We start from the raw sequence: 17331 nt of genomic DNA, 5'->3' as shown, positions 1-17331 counted from the left end.
TAACCTCAGGATCCAGTGAATTTCTTATCTCAGTATCCCTGGCTCTCCAATTCTTAAATCGGCCACATGACCAGTTGTTTGAAAATTCTGTATGTAGTGTAAACCGAGATTCAACATATAAGAGTGTATTAAAATATAGCCTAAATGACAAATTTCGAAATATATACCCAGACAAATAATAAAAAAAAAACCCTGAACACAAACAGACTCTAAAGCCACTACATTAGACTAATGAAATCATGCCCCAAAACCCAATATTGTGTCTTTTGCAGGCATATGGTTATACTTTTTATGCCAATATTGCCAAATGAAGAAAAAAAACCTTAACACAGACTTTCACAAAATAACAGCTCCTTACAATAACAGACACAAATGCACAAGCAGCAAACACGAACCTCAGCAGCCCCATCAGCAGCTTTCTTCAGGCCCCATCCATCATTGGCCCAATCATCAACTATTCTTCGATCAGCACAAATGATAAAGTTGTCAAAAAAAATGTCAGAGGTCATGGACCACAGCTCCAAACCAATAGCACTAAAAGGAGTCATTCTGAAAGGTTCCAGATCTTCAAAGAAATCTGGATTTGGTATTTTCCTGGGTTTCCAGATTCCCTAGAAAAAAAAATGTTTCAGAAAATCATTTCAGATAATGATCAACAAAAGTTTATGGTGAATCTACCGTAAGAGAAATTTTGCATGAACAATGGAGAGAAATGCCAACTTCATGAAACTTGAAATAAGCAACAGGAAAATAAATAACAAATGCTACAGATTATTTTACGCACTCTGCCTCTAAGACTGCAGGATTCCAACTACTTCCAATTTCTACTGTCACCCATGACCTTGGTCCAAACCAACCCCTCAAGTTCCTGGCCCATTCAACAGCCTCCACTCTTAGCAACTGCTAATGAGAGTGGGAGCATAAGTCAGTACGTACTTCTTCAGTGGTGATTTAAAATAAAACGCACATGATCATCAACCAGCAATTCACTTCTAGATAACTACCTAGAGAAATACTCACAACATACACCCAGACATGTACAAGGATTATTACAGCAGCAGTGACTCTGAAAGCAAAAGTGACAATCCACCTAAATGGCCACCAACAGGAGAACAACTAAAGGGCAACTTCTTTTTCACTGTAACTTCTGCCTCCTGTGTTCAAGTGATCCTTGTGCCTCAGCCTCGTGCCTAAGCAGCTGGGACTACAGGTGTGTGCCACCATACCAGGCCAATTTTTGTGCTTTTAGTAGAGATGGTGTTTCACTATGTTGGCCAGGCTGGTCTCGAATGGCTGACCTCAGGTGATCCACCCACCTCAGCCTCTCAAGTGCTGGGATTATAGGCGTGAGCCACTACGCCCAGCCTAAAGGGCAACTTTTTTAAAGTAAAACTTTTATCTTATTGTTTGACTACACAATTAAAAATACATTCACATAACATCTTTAACGACTATGAGGAAAAAAATAAAAAATTTACAAACAGAAAAACATATATTAGTATATGTATATATACATATACTATGCCAAGATCCTGCTGAAATGTTTTCACAGTATCAGACCAGCTTCTCCTGTTTCTGTATATGTATATACATATATTAGTATTTGTATATAAATAAAGTAGAAATTAATGATTATAAATAATTTTAATTGCCACTCTTTGTAGAGATTATAAATAATTTTACTTGGCTAGAAAGATAAAAGGAACAAAGGTCTGAGGGTGTACATTTTTGCATGAGGCCTAAAGCCTCACAACCTTACTACTTGTATCCTTACCATCTCTTTTGGGCCTCAGTCTTTTTATAGTTGCAAGCATTGAGGCCAAGCAGTGAGCTGACTTGATGTAGTCAAGATGCTGACTCAAACCACAGTCCTCTACCCACCACATCACAGATTGTCCAGACTCAGCTGTGGATCCTATGGCTGAAGCAACCCTAGCACCCAAGAGCAGGGTACCCAAATCAACAGTTTTCCATTTCTCTTTTGTTTTTAAATATAGTTACAAAGCAACTATGAAAGTTATTCTTGGCTGGGCACAGTGGCTCCCGCCTGAAACCCCAGGACTTCGAAAGGCGAAGGCAGGTGGATCACCTGAGGTCAGGAGTTCGAGACCAGCCTGGCCAACATGGCGAAGCCCCGTCTCTACTAAAAATACAAAAAATCAGCCAGGTGAGGTGAGCACACCTGTGAGCACACCTGTGCTCCCAGCTACTCGGGAGGCTGAGTCAGGAGAATTGCTTGAACCCAGGAGGTGGAGGTGGCAGTGTGCCGAGACTGAGCCATTGCACTCCAGCCTGGCCACTAGAGTGAGACTCAGTCTCAAAAAAAGAAAGTTGACCAGATGCAGTGGCTCACGCCTGTAATCCCAGCACTTTAGGAGGTTGAGGTGGGCGGATCGCGAGGTCAGGAGTTCGAGACCAGCCTGGCCAACATGGTGAAACACCATCTCTGCTAAAAATATAAAAATTAGCCAGGCGTGGTGGCAGGCACCTGTAATCCCAGCTACTCGGGAGTCTGAGGCAAGAGAATCGCTTGAAACCGGAAGGCAGAGGTTGCAGTGAGGCGACATCACACCACTGCCCTCCAGCCTGGGTAGAAGAGCGAAACTCCATCTCAAAAATAAATAAATAAATAAATAAATAAATAAAGTTAAAGAAAGTTATTCACTCCAGTTTCTAGGTTTATCTTTGCAATACCTAACCCATTAAGCTCTCTTTCAACTTAGGAAGTCTACTTTCTGCTTTTAATTCAACAGCTTGAATATAATGACCAACCTGGCAGCCTTACTCTAGATAAAACTTCTATCTGAATACAAACAGATTAATGAAAGCAACTCAACCATCAAGAGGCACAAACCTGGTAACTGGGATTGTCAATCATAGGAGGCTTCCATTTGCCTTTATAATTGGGGTTGTCAATCACAGGTCGCTGCCAGACACCACATCCAGGAGCTGACTCACATCTAGGGTTGGCAATCTGAGGAGCCTCCCATTCTCCATCCATGTCTTCATCCCTACGGAGGTACAAACAACAAATTATAAACAGGTTCTGTGATGCAGGACTATGAACAGCTGGCTGGCCCAGGGCTGCCAAGATCCTGCTGAAATGTTTTCACAGTATCCCAGACCAGCTTCTCCTGTATTTCCAGTAATAACAGTTTTTCAGGAAAAATTTATTTTTTAAAAAAGAAGAAAATATAATTAAAATTGTCAAATTCTACCCTGAAATTAGGGAACTTGGCTATATTTAAGTATTAAGATTGACTTCAATAAAAACAGGTAACTTATGCTGGGTGTGGTGGCTCACGCCTGTAATCCCAGCACTTTGGGAGGCCAAGGCAGACAGATCACTTGAGGTCAGGACTTTGAGACCAGCCTGGCCAACACGGTGAAAGTCCGTCTCTACTAAAAATACAAAAAATACAAAAATTTGCCGGGTGTGGTGGCACACACCTGTAATCCCAGCTACTCGCAAGGCTGATGGAGGAGAATCACTTGAACCCAGGAGGTGAAAGTTGCAGTGAGCCGAAACTGCGCCACTGAACTCCAGCCTGGGAGACAGAGTGAGACTCCATCTCAAAAAAAAAAACAAACAAAAAAACCAGGTAATTAAAAAAAGTTAACTGAAGTTCTTACCAATCCTCAGGTTTCTCTGCGTCTGGATCAGGTACGTACTCAGGCTCATCATCTAACCAGCCTTCGGGTTTTGTGGCCTCTTCATCTGGAATCTTAGCAGGGGCATCTTCATCCCTTAAATACAAAAGAAAAAGCCAGTTATGACAACACTGGTCACAGTATAGTACCACTTTGTGGATCAGAACAGAGTATTCTAAAAAAATTTGTTTTTAATCTCAAAATTTAAAATAATTCCTCTTAGAAAATACTTGTAAATCATATATCTGCTAAGGGCCTAGTAAAATAACTCTTTACAACTCAATAATATAAAGACAACCCAATTTAAAAATGGGCAAATGATTTTAATAGACATTTCTCCAAAGAAGACATACGAATGTAAAAATATACAATATGAACATACAATAAGCACACGAAAAGATGCTTAACATCATTAGCCATCAGGGAAATGGCAAATCAAAACGATACCACTTAGTACCAAGTTGGCTCTAATAAAAAAGACTCATAAAAACAAATGCTGGAAAGAACGCAGAGAAACTGAAACCCTCATACACTGCTGGTGGGAAAGTAAAATGGTACTGCTCATTTGGAAAACAGTTTGGCAGTTTCTCAAAAAGTTAGTTACCACATGACCCAGCAATTCCACTTTTAGGTATATATACCCAAGAGAAATGAAAATATATATCTATAGCTAGACAGAGTGGCTCATGCCTGTAATCTCAGCACTTTGGGAGGCCAAGGCAGGAGGATCACTTGAGGCCACACCAGCCTGGGCAACAAGGTGAAACCCAGTCTCTAGTAAAAAAAAAAAAATACACAAGGCCAGGTGCGGTGGCTCACACCTGTAATCCCAGCACTTTGGGAGGCCAAGGCGGGTGGATCACCTGAGGACAGGAGTTCAAGACCGGCCTGACCAATATGACGACACCCTGTCTCTACCAAAAAATACAAAAATTAAGCCAGGTGTAGTGGCTCATGCCTGTAATCCTAGCACTTTGGGAGGCCAAGGTGGGCAGATCACCTGAGGTCGGGAGTTTGAGACCAGCCTGACCAACATGGAGAAACCCCATCTCTACTAAAAATACAAAATTAGCTGGGCGTGGTGGCACATGCCTGTAATCCCAGCTACTCAGGAGGCTGAGGCAGGAGAATCACTTGAAACCGGGAGGCAGAGGTTGTGGTGAGCCAAGATCACGCCACTACACTCCAGCCTGGGCGACAAGAGCGAAGCTCCGTCTCAAAAAAAAAGAAAAAACATGCACAGCCAGGCACGGTGGCACACGCCTGTAATCCCAGCACTTTGGGAGGCTGAGGCTGGTAGATCACTTGACATCAGAATTTTGAGACCATCCTGGCCAACATGGTGAAATCCCATCTCTACTAAAAATACAAGAATTTTTTGTAGTAGTGCGCGCTTGTAGTCCCAGCTACTTGGAGGGTGAGGCACGAGTGCAGTGGTGCACGCTTGTAGTCCCAGCTACTTGGGATGCTGAGGCACGAGAATCGTTTGAACCCGGGAGGCAGAGGTTGCAATGAGACGAGATCGTGCCACTGCACTCCAGCCTGGGTGACAAAACGAGACTCTGTCTCAACAAACAAACAAAAAACCCATAAAAATTAGCCAGGCGTGCATACCTGCAGTCCCAGCTACTTGAGAAGCTAAGGCGGGAGAGGATCGCTTGACCCCAGAAAGTGGAAGCTGCAGTGAGCCGTGACCGTACCACTGTACTCCCACCTGGGCAACACAGAGATCATGTCTAAAGAAAAGAGGCCAGGTGTGGTGGCTCACGCCTGCAATCCCAGCACTTTGGGAGGCTGAGGCGGGTAGATCACCTGAGGTCAGGAGATCGAGATCAGCCTGACCAACATGGTAAAACCCCGTGTCTACTAAAAATACAAAAATTAGCTGGGTGTGGTGGCATGCGCTTGTGATCCCAGCTACTTGGGAGGCTAGGGCGGGAGAATCACTTGAACTCGGGAGACAGAGGTTGCAGTGAGCCGTGATGGCGCCACTGCACTCCAGCCTGGGCGACAGAGCTACACTCCATCTCAAAAAAAAAAAAGCAAGAAAAGAAAAAACATATTTATGTAAAAACCAGTACATGAACATTCATAGCAGCATTATTCATAATCACAGACAAAAAGGAGCAAACAACCTAAATGTCCACCAAAGGATGGATAAATAAAATGTGGCATTATCAAAACAGTAGAATTTATTCAATCATAAAAAGGAATGCAGTACTGATACATGCTTCAACACAGATAAACCTGGAAAACACTGTGCTAAATGAAAGAAACTGGACAGAGAAAGCCACATACTGTATGATTCCATTTTATATGAAATATACAAAGTGGACAAATGTAGAGAGGCAGAAAGCAGGTTAGTGGTTGCTGGGAGTTGGGGGAGGAAACAGGGAGTGGCCGCTTAATGGGTACAGGGGCCTTCTTAGGTGATAAAGCTAGTTAAGGAATATAATACTGAACAAGGCTAAGTCCAAATCTAATATACACCAAATATACAAGTAAACTTGGCATTTATACTAGTGCAGTACAAAAGTTCAGTTATATGTATCTTACCTTTCAAGGAGGAAAAAGATAATCTAGAATGTAATTGCTAAGCATAGGAGGATATTTTACAAAGGGTAAGAATTTCTTTGTTCACTTTCTGACATTTCTGGAGTCACTGTGTGAAGTTGCAAGTTCAAAGACAGCCATATACAAGAATACAGCCCCAGCTATCTTCATTTCTCCTCACTCTTCAATGTGCACCCTACATAAAAGGCCATGTAATTTCTCCCTCGCATGTCAAGCTCATTGCTGCTCCTCTACTTCTGCATACGACATTCTTCAATCAGAAACACCCCTTCCCATATTCACCAACTCCTTAATTCTCACCTCACTGCCAAGTCTCAATCTGATTTGCCTTGCTCCAAGAAACCATGCCTAGTTTAGGTACACCTGGTGCTCTGGTCTCCTGTGGCACCTTCTCATGAACCCTTACGATACCACATGCCAACATCATGCCTCACAACTGGACTTCAAGCTCTGTGTAGGCAGATGGTGGTGTCCTTGTGGCTTTGTATTCTACCACCCAACCCACAGCAGAGAATTGACTGTTGTTTAAATAGGAAAAAGGTTATTTTTCAAATTAAAATTTAGCATTTCAGAACTTTGGCTTTAAATGTGAGTTCACAGAAGCCCTGGAGTAGCCAGGTTAAAGGACCTGAGATTCTGCCACAAACCAACAGTGTCACCACAGACAAACTCTTATCAAGTGTGGCATTCTGTGGCTTGTAAAATGGTGAGTCAATCCAGATGATTACACTATGGCCCCTTTCCAGCTATAGTACTCTATATTTTCCCTACAGATTAGACTGCATCATGGATTACTGAAATTATCAGAGCTTACTCAACCAACATTTCGTTGTTCAAGCCACATGGAATATATGAAATGCTCCCTTACACTTGAAGACAGTTCCCCAAGACTCACCAGTCATCTGGCTTGACAGCTTCTGGATCTGGGATTTTTGGTCTTTCATCCCAATCCTCGGGCTTCCGGTCTTCTGGGTCCTCAATTTCACGTGAAGGATTTACAGGAGGAGTCATGTCATTGAGCAGATTTCCACTATTCACCACAGATTGGTCAACCAGTATTTCAAAACTATTATCTGGATTCAAGACTGAAAGAAACATTAAATGGAATTAAAAGTACTTAATTTTCCAAGCTCCCTTTACCATAATACAAAAGATCATGACTTCTAACGTGAAGCAGCAGAAGTCTGACCTGAGGCTTTGGGGTAAGAACAATGCCTGGCTCCTGGGGTCTTGGGGAAGCTAACGCCCATTTCCTTATGCACGAAACATAAATGATTAGTCCCTCGGCTTTCTAAGAATTACAGCAAATGATAGTTAAAATCTTTAACACCAAAGACTTGACTTATAGACACTAAAAAAAAAAAACAAAAAAAACAAGAAACTACATAAACTAACACAATTATTGGGCTTACACATATACACCAGTGAGAAGACAAATACGTGGACTTACAACTACTTCCCAGTACAAAAGGTCCATTTCTTCATTTTTAATAGAGCTGGTATTATTACGTTACTGAAATTACACAAACCTCCAATTTATTAAAACGCATGTCCACTCATGATTCTACTTTCTACTTTTTAACTCCCATGGAGAATGAAAAAACAATTTTAAATCCATAAAAGCATTTTTTAAAATTTTATTTTATTTTTTTGAGACAGAGTCTCGCTTTGTCTCCCAGGCTGGAGTGCAGTGGTGTGATCTCGGCTAACTGCAACGCCCGCCTCCCAGGTTCAAGCGATTCTCCTGCCTCAGCCTCCGCAGTAGCTGGAACTACAGACGGCCCCGTGCCACCATGCCCAGCTAATTTTTTGTATTTTAAGTAGAGATGGGGTTTTGCAATGTTGCCCAGGCTGGTCTCAAACTCCTGAGCTCAGGCAATCTGCCCAACCTCAGCCTCCCAAGGTGTTAAGACTACAGGTGTGAGCCACCGTGCCCAGCCACATGGGCCCCATAAAAGCATCTTAAGTGTGATGTATATTAAAGCCCAGATTCCACACCTAGATATCTAATACACAGGAGACTGAGTTACAGCACATCCAAACAAGGAATCCTATGCTGCTGTGTCAGTGATAATGAAAATGAATATTTCTGTGAGGAAGAACTTCACACTCTTTTGTTGTTAAGAAACGGGTGTGGTGGCTCATGCCTGTAATCCCAGCACTTTGGGAGGCTAACGCAGGTGGATCACTTGAGGCCAGGAGTTCGAGACCAGCCTGGCCAACATGGTGAAACCCTGTCTCTACTAAAAATACAAAAACTAGGTGGGCATGTTGGTGCACACCTGTAAACCCAACTACTTGGGAGGCTAAGGCACAAGAATCGCTTGAACCTGGGAGGTGGAGATTGCAGTGTTTCTGTCTCAAATAAAAAAGGGCCGGGCGCAGTGGCTCACGCCTGTAATCCCAGCACTTTGGGAGGCCGAGACGGGCGAATCACGAGGTCAGGAGATCGAGACCATCCTGGCTAACACGGTGAAACCCCGTCTCTACCAAAAATACAAAAAATTAGCCCAGCGTGGTGGTGGGCACCTGTAGTCCCAGCTACTCGGGAGGCTGAGGCAGGAGAATGGCGTGAACCCGGGAGGCGGAGTTTGCACTGAGCGGAGATCGCACCACTGCACTCCAGTCTGGGAGACAGAGCGAGACTCCGTCTCAAAAAAAAAAATAAAAATAAATAAAAAAATAAAAAAGTTAGATATAGCATGTAAAGTTGTATATGTGTATATACACATATTGACAAATATATATCACAATGCTGATGTTTAAGATAATTTTAAGTGACTTCTTTGTGTATGTTTTTATTGACATATCGTACTTGTACATATTTTCGGGGTACGTGTGATATTTTGATACATGTATATAATGTGTAATGACCAAATCACAGTCATTGGACGGGCCCAGTGGCTCATGCCTATAATCCCAGCACTCTGGGAGGCTGAGGCAGGCCCATCATTTGAGGTTGGGAGTTCGAGACCAGCCTGACCAACATGGTGAAACCCCAACTCTACTAAACATACAAAAAAATTGGCCGGGCATGGTGGCGCATGCCTATAGTCCCAACTATTCAGGAGGCTGAGGCAGGAGAATCGCTTGAACCCGGGAGGCAGAAGTTGCAGTGAGCTGAGATCAGGCCACTGCACTCCAGCCTGGGCAACAGAGAGAGACTCCCATCTCAAAAAAACAAAAAGAACAAAACAAAACAAAACAAAACAAACAAATCACAGTAATTGAAATATCTGTAACCTTAAACATTTACCTTTTCTTTCTATTTTATAGAGACAGAGTCTCATTCTGTGACCCACGCTGGAGTGCAGTGGCCCAATCATAGCTCACTGCAATCTCGAATCCTGGACTCAAGGGATCCTTTTATACCACAGCCTCCCGAGCACCTGGGACTAGAGGTACATGCTACCAAGCCTGAATAATTATTTTTTTGTAGGAACAAGGTCTCACTATGCTGCCCGGGCTGGTCTAGAACTCCTGGCCTCAAGTGATCCTCCCACCTCAGCCTCCCAAAAGCGCAGGGATTATAGGCCTGAGCCACTGCACCTGGCTCCATTTACTTTTTCTTTGTATTGGGAACAGTACAATTCTCTTCCAGCTCTTCTGAAATACACCATAAATTGTTCTAACTATAATTTCCCTACTGTACTATCAAATATTAGAATTTATTCCTTCTACCTTATTTCTGTACCAATTAACCAACTTGTCTTCAACCCCTCTCCCTCGCTTTAAGTGTTTTCTTTTTGCTTACTTATGGCTTCTGAATTTCTATACCTTAAATATGTATTACTTTTGGAAATAACAAAAAAAGGTTAAGCTGGGCTCAGTGGCTCACGCCTGTAATCCTAGCACTTTGGGAGGCCGAGGTGGGCGGATCAACAGATGGCCAAGAGTTTGAGATCAGCCTGGCCAACAAGGCTCTACTAAAAATACAAAAATTAGTTGGACATGGTGGTGTGTGCCTGTAATCCCAGCTACTGGGGAGGCTGAGACGGGAGAATCACTGGAACCTGGGAAGCGGAGGCTGCAGTGAGCCAAGATGGCGCCACTGCACTCCAGCCTGGATGACAAAGCAAGACTCCGTCACAAAAAAAAGAAAAAAAGGTTGTTATATTCTAGGCTGGGTACAGTGACTCACACCTGTAATCCCAGCACTTTCAGGAGCTGAGGCGGGCAGATCACTTGAGGTCAGGAGTTCGAGACCAGCCTGGCCAACATGGTGAAACCCGGTCTCTACTAAAAACAGAAAAATTAGCTGGAAAAAAAAAAAAATAATAATAATAAAAAAAAGAAAAATTAGCTGGGCATGGTGGCACAAGCCTGTAATCCCAGCTACTCAGGAGGCTGTGGCAAGAGAATCGCTTGAACCCGGGAGGCAGACGTCACAGTAGGCCAAGATCACGCCACTGCACGCCCACCTGGGTGACAGAGCAATACTCCGCCTCAAAAAAATTAAAAAGGTAGTCCAGGCGCGGTGGCTCACGCCTATAACCCAGCAGTTTGGGAGGCTGAGGCGGGCAGATCACCTGACGTCGGGAGTTTGAGACCAGCCTGACCAACATGGAGAAAACCCATCTCTACTAAAAAAAAAAAAAAAAAAATTAGCCAGGCGTGGTGGCACATGCCTGTAATCCCAGCTACTTGGGAGGCCAAGGCAGGAGAATCGCTTGAATGCAAGAGGCAGAGGTTGTGGTGAGCCAAGATCACACAATTGCACTCCAGCCTGGGGAACAAGAGTGAAACTCCATCTCAAAAAAAAAAAAGGTTATTATATTCTTCAGAAAGAGGCATGCCTATTTATGATCTCAAACTAGCAGGAAAAGCTTCAATAAACAAACAAACCAAAAAAAACCCTGTATCAAAATGATTCAACTCAATTGTCAATTGTCCAGGTATTGGAGCATCCAAATAAGTTCAACTACAAGATACTTCTGAAAAACTATTTTTATTGGATTTATGTATAATTATAAATATAACTTATTCTATTATTCAACATTTCTCAACAACAACAACAAAAAAAAGGAAGAAATTAGATCAGCAAAGCTCTTTGTAGAAAAAAAAAAAAAAAACACCTTTTTTTTTGGAGTGGGGGACGGAGTCTCACTGTGTTGCCCAGGCTGGAGTGCAATGGCATGACCTTGGCTCACCGTGACCTCCGCCTCCCGGGTTCAAGTGATTCTCCTGCCTCAGCCTCCTGAGTATCTGAGATTATAGGCGCCCACCACCCCACCCGGCTAATTTTTGTATTTTCAGTAGAGATGACGTTTCACCATGTTGGCCAGGCTGGTCTTGAACACCTGACCTCAAGTGATCTGCTCGCCTCAGCCTCCCATCGTGCTGGGATTACAGGCATGAGCCACCATGTCCAGCAAAAAATACCAATTTTTTTTTTTTTTTTTTTGAGACAGAGTCTTCCTGTCGCCCAGGCTGGAGTGCAGTGTCACAATCTGGCTCACTGCAACCTCCGCTTCCAGGGTTCAAGCAATTCTCCTGCCTCAGCCTCCTGAGTAGCTGGGATTACAGGCACCCTCCACCATGCCCGGCTAATTTTTGTATTTTTAGTAGAGATGGGGCTTCACCATGTTGGCCAGGCTGGTCTTAAACTCCTGACCTCAGGTGATCCGCCCACCTCGGCCACCCAAAGTGCTGGGATTATAGGCACGAGCCACCATGCCTGGCCAAAAACACCTATTCTATTCTTAAAATTATCTCGAACCTCAGTTCCTGTGGAAAAGAAGTTTTTTGGGTTTTTTGTTTTGTTTTTTGAGACAGCATCTCACTTTGTCACCCAGGCTACAGTGCAGTGGCAAGATCATGGCTCACTACAGTCTCGACTTCCTGGGCTCAAGCAATCCTCATACCTCAGCCTCCTGAGTAGCTGAAACTACAGGCACATGCCACTATACTCAGTTAATTCTTAAGATTTTGTAGAGACAGGGTCTGACTATGTTGTCAGGCTGGTTTGGAACTCCTGGACTCAAGCAATCCATCCGATTCAGCCTCCCGAAGTGTTAGGATTACAGGTGTGGGCCACCATACGTGGCCAAGAAGCTTCTTTTAATGCTGACAAATTAAGGTCATTTCCCAACTAAGATACTAAAGTGAAGAGATTCTTTTCTTTCGTGGAGGGGGTACAGAATCTTCCTCTGCCACCCAGGCTGGAGTGCAGTGATACAATCTTGACTCAACTGCAACCTCTGCCTCCTGGGTTAACGTAATTCTGCTGCCTCAGCCTCCCGAGTAGCTAGGATTACACCAGCTACTCAACACCACGCCCAGCTAATTTTTGTATTTTTAGTAGAGACGGGGTTTTACCATGTTGGCCATGCTAGTCTCGAATGCCTGATCTCAAGTGATCCGCCCGCCTCAGCCTCCCAAAGTGCTGGGATTACACGCATGAGCAACCATACCAGGCTGAGATTCTTCTTGTTTGGAGGCTGGGGTACTCTCCAGATATACAATCTTTTTTTTTTTTTTTTGAGATGGAGTCTTGCTCTGTCTCCTAGGCTGGAGTGCAGTGGCGCGATCTCGGCTCACTGCAAGCTCTGCCTCCCGGGTTCGTGCCATTCTCCTGCCTCAGCCTCCCAAGTAGCTGCGACTACAGGTGCCCACCACCACGCCCGGCTAATATTTTTGTATTTTTAGTAGAGACGGGGTTTCACCATGTTAGCCAGGATGGTCTCGATCTCCTGACCTTGTGATCCACCCGCCTCGGCCTCCCAAAGTGCTGGGATTACAGGTGTGAGCCACCGCGCCCAGCCTTTTTTTTTTTTTTTGAGATTGAGTCTCACTTTCGCCCAGGCTGGAATGCTGTGGCACAATGATCTTGGCTCCCTCCCAGGTTCAAGCAATTCTCCTGCCTCAGCCTCCCAACTAGCTTCGGTTACAGGCGTGCACCACCATGCCTAGCTAATATTTGTATTTTTAGTAGAGGTGAAGTTTCAACATTTTGGCCAGACTGTTCTCGAATTCCTGATCTCAGGTGATCTGCCCATCTCGGCCTCCCAAAGTGCTGGGATTACAGGCGTGAGCCACAGTGCCCGGCCAGATATACAATCTTTAAATTAAATGGATGATATATATGTAATACCATAAGCCCCCAAACTAATGCTTTTTCTTACTTAGTGTGTAAAGATGTGTTTTCTTATCAGTAAAATAGGTCTTCAGATCTGCATCTGGCCTCTTAGCATGTTTTTCTTCATAGATACCCGTTTTGGGGTTTTTGTGTCGGAAGATGAAGTGCAGTTTATAGTCCTCTCCACATTTATCTGGACCAAACATAATCGTATAAGGGGTCTTGTCATGGAACTGATCCTTCAAAAACAAAAAAGGATTATTTGAAGTCACTGTACTCAAAGTGTTCAAAAGCAACGTTTCAAAAGTGTATGATAATTCCTCTTATAAAATTCCAAATATATTAGTGACAGTTAAAGGAAAAGCTAACTACAAGTTTGTTTAGTAAAAAGGAATAACCAGCAATCATCAGTAAATTTAAAATAACGTTTAAGTGTCTAAAAAAAAGTAATGCACACATCTAGACAGTTATTGCTTCCTCATAAAACAAAGAAATAAGCTTGCCAAAACTAAAACTTACACAGAAGCAAAACCAGAAATTCAGATAAAAACAGTTGGTAACAACTTTGTAATTTACACTTCAAATAAAAAGCACGTTAGCGTCAAAGTCAATTTTCCCAACTCATCAAAAGAGTTAAACAGCAGGGGAGGAAGCCTTTATTTTCACAATTATTACAAAATTCTCTTTTTTTTTTTTTTGAGATGGAGTCTCGCTCTGTCGCCCAGGCTGGAGTGCAGTGGCGCAATCTCGGCTCACTGCAAGTTCCGCCTCCCAGGTTCATGCCATTCTCCTGCCTCAGCCTCCCAAGTGGCTGGGACTACAGGCGCCTGCCACCACGCCTGGCTAATTTTTTGTATTTTTAGTAGAGATGGGGTTTCACCATGTTAGCCAGATAGTCTCAATCTCCTGACCTCGTGATCCGCCTGCCTTGGCTTCCCAAAGTGCTGGGAGCTAGGATTACAGGCGTGAGCCACTGCACCCGGCCCAATTACAAAATTCTTACAAGGTAATAGTGGGTGTCCAGCCACATTCCAGAAATGGGAATTACATACCAGGTTGAGTTCTGGTGTTTTAGAAAGCAGTTTCACATAGGCACCACCACATTCTATTCCATTTTGGAAATTAACCTCATACCTAATATCAGAGAGAAAAGCAGAAAACTGTATGGCATTTTGAAAGATCGAAACTCTCTTAATGTATTTCCTCTCTCCCTCATCTTAGTCACGTTTTATCATAGGTCAAATGTTTACCCTTACAAAGGATTCCATCTTCTATTGTTTTTGAATAGTTATCAAATGCCACAAAAATAAATAAAATTAAATTGAACATTAATGCAGATTTCCAGTAAATTTGTTCTGCAAAATCTACAAGTTATTTAGAGTCAGGAAAATGAGTAACCAGTTTCTTTCAAAATAATGCATTAGGCAGGAAAAACTATTAATTACTAGTTTTGTAATTAATTAATTACAAAAACTATTAATGCAGATTTCCGGTAAATTTGTTCTGCAAAATCTACAAGTTATTTAGAGTCAGGAAAATAAGTAACCAGTTTCTTTCAAAATAATGCATTAGCCAGGAAAAACTATTAATTACAAGGTGTTTAAATTCACCCAAAAATCCCTACCACCACTTATATAATCTCATAATTTTTTAACATAGAGTAAAAGTTACATAATGTCTTCTAAGATTACCCTTTGCAGAAAGCTTTTATCCAACAAGCATTTCACTTACTGAACAATGAGAGGCTTGGTGTCAAACAGGAAGGGCTTGTTCAGTTTAGCAGAGATGGCATGATGCTTGGCCCGAGACATCAACACAAGTCCTTTATCACCTGGAAGCTTTGACTCCTTCATTTCCTCTACCTCCCACTTTCCTACAAGACAACACAAAAAAGTTCCACTGCTTAACTCTACCTCTGAAGGTCCTTTAAATGCCAAAAAAAACACCTCCTAGTTGCATAAATATATTATACTGGGGCAGCCGTGGTCGCTCACACCTATAATCCCAGCACTTAGGGAGGCTGAGGGCAGGCGGATCACTCAAGGTCAGGAGTTCGAGACCAGCCTGGCCAACATGGTGAAACCCCATCTCTAATAAAAACACAAAAATTAGCCGGGCGTGGTGATGGGCACCTGTAATCCCAACTACTCGGTAGGCTGAGGCAGGAGAATCGCTTGAACCCAAGAAACAGAGGTTGCGGTGAGCCAAGATCACGCCACTCTATTCCAGAAGCCTGGGTGGCAAGAATGAGACTCCGTCTCAAAAAAGTAAATAAATAATAAATAAACACACTTTATTTGGCAAATATTATTCAGATATGGCTTTTTAAAACTGTAGTGTATTATACTACTGTCTAGAAATTTCCAACATTCAGTAGCACAGGTGATTAAACAGATCTAATCCTATTAAATATAAGGCTACACATGCACCCCTGAACCTTAAATAAAAAAAAAAAAAAAAAAAAAATTAGGCAACACACAAAGGTGGCAAAACTTCCATGGAAAAATCTTTTTTTTTTTTTTTTTTTTGAGACGGAGTCTCGCTCTGTCACCCAGGCTGGAGTGCAGTGGCGCGTTCTCGGCTCACTGCAAGCTTGGCCTCCCGGGTTCACACCATTCTCCTGCCTCAGCCTCCCCAGCAGCTGGGACTACAGATGCACGCTGCCACGCCCAGCTAATTTTTTGTATTTTCAGTAGAGACGGGGTTTCACTGTGTTAGCCAGGATGGTCTCGATCTCCTGACCTCGTGATCTGCCCGCCTTGGCTTCCGAAAGTGCTGGGATTACAGGCGTGAGCCACCGCACCTGGCTGGAAAAATCTTAAAGCCTACTATGTCCTTTTAAACTAGTCTTAGGAAATGCCATGGAGACAACATGTCAAACCTCTATCTGCTATTATATCTAAACCAAATGGGATTCTCACCATCATATTTGGCAATTTCATCATCGGTATCGTCTTTCTTGGCTTTGGATAAAATCCACCTGTAAATAACAAATCCCAAAATCAGTCTTAAAATGACAGTTGACTTGTGAGGGAAAATTATGTAAATACTCATTAAAGTAGGACCTATTCTGCTCTTAGCCTATTTAACCACTCTACTTCCAACCTTTAAATCTGTCACACAACTAATGATAATACATTATCTTCAACTCACAAACCTATATGAAAAAGTACCAAACCTATGAGATAATTCCACTGATGTTTTAACATCAAGAGAAAATTTTTTTCCTCAATCAAAGAACAAAATATAGGGTAGAGTGGGGGAGGGAAAGAAGTGGAAGTAAAAACCACAAATTCCAAAAGACTATTTTCCTGCATGGATGTTAACACTGAAGATATTAAAGCTAGAAATTTCAGGCCAGGTGCGGTGGCTCATGCCTGTAATGCCAACAATTTGGGAGGCTAAGGCAAGTGGACCACCTGAGGTCAGGAGTTCAAGACCAGCCTGGCCAACATGTCAAAACCCCATCTCTACTAAAAAAATAACAACACACACACACAAATTAGCCAGCATGGTGGCGCATGCCTATAATCCCAGCTACTTGGGAAGCTGAGGCAGGAGAATCACTTGAACCCAGGAGACGGAGGTGGCAATGAGCCGGTATCACGCCATTGCACTCCAGCCCAGGCAAAAGAGCGAAATTCTGTCTCAAAAAATAAATAAATAAAATAAAATAAAGTTAGACATTTCACTATAAAAGATGCTATCCAAAAAGGAATCTACTATCCCATCTTATTTACATGTCTGCCTCTAACATATATTTCTCTGGAAAACACTTACCCTGACAGAGTTCCTCTGTCAAAAGAATCAGCAAAATATACTTCCCCTGTTGGAACTGGAGCTTTGTAAGTAACCTGTGTTAAATACATAAATGAATTAAAAATTTAAATTTTCAGCAACATGCCTTTTTATCTAGAATCTATTCTCCTGGTTTGCTTTCAACTGTCACAAAAATTTCATAGCTGGCCTTCAAATTCAACCCATATAATTGGCCTCTAGCAAGACAAAGGCTGCCAGAGAGATCAATA

At 42.8% G+C, this 17331-nt stretch overlaps 1 protein-coding gene across 14 annotated transcripts in view; it reads right to left on the bottom strand.

Moving 5' to 3' along the window:
• Positions 1–17331, bottom strand: part of CANX (calnexin) — a 52986-nt gene that overhangs the window by 8227 nt on the left and 27428 nt on the right. For 11 of the 14 annotated variants that reach the window (NR_157048.1, XM_011534665.4, NM_001363994.1 and 8 more), the window contains 9 exons: positions 17084–17157; positions 16225–16283; positions 15035–15176; positions 14356–14437; positions 13350–13542; positions 7121–7310; positions 3634–3747; positions 2855–3011; positions 396–611 (listed from right to left, as the gene is read on the bottom strand). Coding sequence is in view for 13 of the 14 variants with exons in the window: in XM_011534665.4 (XP_011532967.1) it covers positions 396–611; positions 2855–3011; positions 3634–3747; positions 7121–7310; positions 13350–13542; positions 14356–14437; positions 15035–15176; positions 16225–16283; positions 17084–17157 (1227 nt within the window). In the remaining variant the exon portion in view is untranslated. Of the gene's footprint in view, positions 1–395; positions 612–2854; positions 3012–3633; positions 3748–7120; positions 7311–7414; positions 7517–13349; positions 13543–14355; positions 14438–15034; positions 15177–16224; positions 16284–17083; positions 17158–17331 lie in introns of all 14 variants that reach the window. The other 3 variants (NM_001363995.1, NM_001364000.1, NM_001364001.1) reach the window with 3 other exon arrangements.

This window comes from Homo sapiens, chromosome 5 (assembly GCF_000001405.40).
Source record: "Homo sapiens chromosome 5, GRCh38.p14 Primary Assembly".
Lineage (NCBI taxonomy): Eukaryota > Metazoa > Chordata > Mammalia > Primates > Hominidae > Homo > Homo sapiens.
The sequence above is the reverse complement of the archived record's forward strand: the minus strand, read 5'-3'. Positions and strand labels throughout refer to the sequence as shown.